Genomic DNA, 3469 nt, shown 5'->3' on the forward strand with positions numbered 1-3469 from the left:
TCCACTACTACAATGAACAGCAGAAGTGGTATAAAAAAAAACCTCTAACCTAATGATCTATACAAAAAGGGAGACAATTTACTCTCTACACATTGCAGTATATTCAAGTGGTGAAAAGATATAAATTCTTTCAGAACTGCCATATTCTCTGGCTGTCAATATAGTCTCCTGAATAATTATATTAAACATATTACTACAAAAGGTACCAAGAAGTAGCGAATAACACTATATTTTTGAACTGCAAATAATAAAACAAAACAGAAGTCCAAGAAGGCTAAAGTCTAAGCTGTAATTACACATGAAGTGTATGTTGAAAGCAGTCACAATGTACGAAAATGTGACAAGATATCCAGATGTTTAAAAAAACACATCCTGTTTGTCTCAGATTATATCTAGTTTCATCTTGTAGGTTTCTGATAAGCCTGTTATGTAAAGTGTGTTTCCCTCCTGCTGATAAGAAGCAGCTTGCAGATATCCATAAATTTTTTAAGGAGTGAGTCTACTCGGCAATATTGGTAACTCCATAGTTTCCTATTACATTCATTCGTCTGAAAACTGAAAACAACTCATGACTGAAATATTCTTCCATTCCTTTGCCAGTTTTCAAGTTTAAAATCAAAGGAAAGTTGAATGTATTGCTTCTTGTAATCAACAGGCATTTCAAAAAGAGGGTAATTAACCAAATCAAGTGTTCTTTGGTCAAGTTAGTAACAGGCTTTCACTTTGTTCTAAATCCTTTCATAATTTTTTTTCTAATTTTTCCACTATGGCCTGAATCTTACAAACAGCCTCTTTTCTGGCCTGCCGTACAGAGTCCTGGCCCCCAGTTTCAACTGAATCCAGTTCCAAAAGTTCCTTGGTTAGCATTTCTTCCAGAAGCCAGTATGCTTAGTCTGTCTTTTTTCCTACAAATTATTCTACTTCTTGTTCAAGATACTGGACCTTCTCCACCACATGTATGATTTTTTTAATATTCGGAGGAGTACTTTCATCTGAAGGTACACATTCTTCAGGAAGACTGCTACTTTAATCTTGATTGTTGGGATGGTCACTGGTGGCATTACCATACAGCTGAGGCTCAGCACTATATTGGACTTAGGAATCCGAAAGATCTGAATCATTCTTGTTCACTGTCCCAGAGGATTCGTACTAATGGACGCTGCAAGGGAAGTTGTGCCGGTTCATGCTTTGATCTGATTGGCTATAGGGGTATGAAGAATCCTTGGGCTGCTGGAGTGGGGGTGTATGCTGGAGTGGGGGTGTAGGGGGTGACTGAGGAGAGCCACTGCTAGGCCATGGTGAAGTACTTTAGGTCATGTAGAGATTGTCAGGTGGTGCTGAGGGCGCTGACGAAGGCCAGGGATAACTGCCACCCATTCCATAAGCACCAGGAGAAGCCCACACATTCTCTCGTGGTCGTACAGTTTGTCCTGATTGTGGAACACTACGATTACCATCTCCATAAGGATAATGGGGCAGGGTCATTCCAGAGTTCTGTGAAGCTAGATACCCTGCAACCTGCCCCCTAAGAGGGTGTACTTCAGTCTGACAGTCCTGCTGGGGATAGACTCCAGAGACTGGAGTTGGGCTGTGCCAGGTGAACGGTAAGTACTTGCAACTACCGTGGAATAACTGGTCTGAGTATAACCAGGTGCATAGTAAGCCCCTGAGTATGAGGCAGTATTTGCCCCAGGGCCTGGGGGGTATGTTGGACCGTATGCTCCATTTGTATAAGAATTCAAACTTTGGTGGCTTCCTCCGGCTCGACCAGGCTCTGGCCAGGCGCCTCCAGAGGGATAGCAGCCATCGCCTCCTCCGCCTTCTCCCAGCCAGGTGGTCTCCGCCGGGCCGCCCCCGCGCACCCGCCAGGAAATGGGAGGCTGGGGAGGTTCGGGGTGAAAAGGGTATAAAGGTGGAGGTGGGTGCACCGGCACATCTCCACCCCCAGGCCCGTAGTAGCGGCTGTAGGACAGATGGTCACTGGGGCCGTAGCCCAAGCGCCTCAGGGCCGACATGGGCTCCGCTGCCCTGAAGTGCTTCCCACCCCCAACGGCCGACCCATCGGGCAAGCCAAATTAAGTTTTAATTTACACAAGCCACTGCATATTCTTAGACAGTGTTTAGAACTTGTGTGATTTTGCTCTGACAATACAAAATTTTGGATAAGATCCAAAACCTTACTCAGAATTCAGACTTAGTTCTCTTTTCAGGTTATGGATTTCTCTTTACAGATGCATAGAGAAGTAATTTTAAGGCCAAGCATGGTGGTTCACACCTGTAATCCCAGCACTTTGGGAGGTCGAGGCGGGCAGATCACCTGAGGTCGGGAGTTTGAGACCAGCCTGGCCAACATGGTGAAATCCGGTCTCTACTAAAGATACAAAAATTAGCTGGGAGTGATGGCACTTGCCTGTAATCCCAGCTACTCAGGAGGCTGAGGCAGGAAAATTGCTTGAACCCAGGAGGCAGAGGTTGCAGTGAGCTGAGATCATGCCACTGCACTCCAGCCTGGGCGATGGAGCAAGACTCCATCTATTAAAAAAAAAAAAAAAAAGAAGGTTTCAAGTCTACTGTATTGGTCAGGGTTCTCCAGAGAAACAGAGCTAAAGGAGATATAGATATACAGATACAGGTACAAAGAGATAGAGATAGAGATATACAATTTATATAAGGAGATATACTATGATGAATTGGCTCACATGATTAAGGAGGCCTAGAGGTGCTGAGATCTATAGTTGCCAAACTGAAGACTGAGGAGAACTGGTGGTGTAGTTCTGGTCAGAGACCAAATCCCTGAAAACCAGGGGAGTTGACCGTGTAAGTCCAAGTCTGAAAGCTGGCAAGCTCAAGACCCAAGAAAAGCTGAATTTTTAGTTCAAGTAGTAGGCAGGAAAAGACTAATGTCCCAGTTCAAGAAGTCAGGCCAGAAGCATTTCCTTTTGCTCAGCCTTTTTGTTCTATTTGGGTCTTCAATTGGTTGAAAGAGACCCATTCACATTAGGGAGGGCAACCTGCTTTACTTGGTTTACCAATTCAAAGGTTAATCTCATCTGGACACATCCTACAGGCATATTGAGAATACTGTTCGGCCAAATTTCTAGGAGTCCAATGGCCTAGTCAAGTTGACACACAGAATTAACCATTAAGTGTACTAAGCTAGAAAATCCTTCCAAATGTTACAGTTCACATATGATGAAATCTTAGCAGAGATTTTCCCAAATTTGGCAACAATCCTAAAAACGTATGTGATATTACGAATAATGAAGTGTGAAACTGAAGCAAACTCTTTTCTAAGATTTTTAAAAATATAGACACAGGGTCTCACTATGTTGCTCAGGCTGGCCTCAAAATCCTGGCCTCAAGAGATCCTCCTGCCTCAGCCTCCTGAGTCATGGGAAATACAGACATAAGCCACTGCGCCCAGAAGAAATAAACTTAGATAAAAAAGAATGAAAAGGAACAAACAAAG

At 43.7% G+C, this 3469-nt stretch overlaps 1 pseudogene; it reads right to left on the reverse strand.

The window, feature by feature from the left end:
• Positions 1–444: 444 nt before the first annotated feature.
• On the reverse strand, positions 445–2030 carry LOC100288097 (BAG cochaperone 4 pseudogene; annotated as a pseudogene).

This window comes from Homo sapiens, chromosome 8 (assembly GCF_000001405.40).
Source record: "Homo sapiens chromosome 8, GRCh38.p14 Primary Assembly".
Classification (NCBI taxonomy): domain Eukaryota; kingdom Metazoa; phylum Chordata; class Mammalia; order Primates; family Hominidae; genus Homo; species Homo sapiens.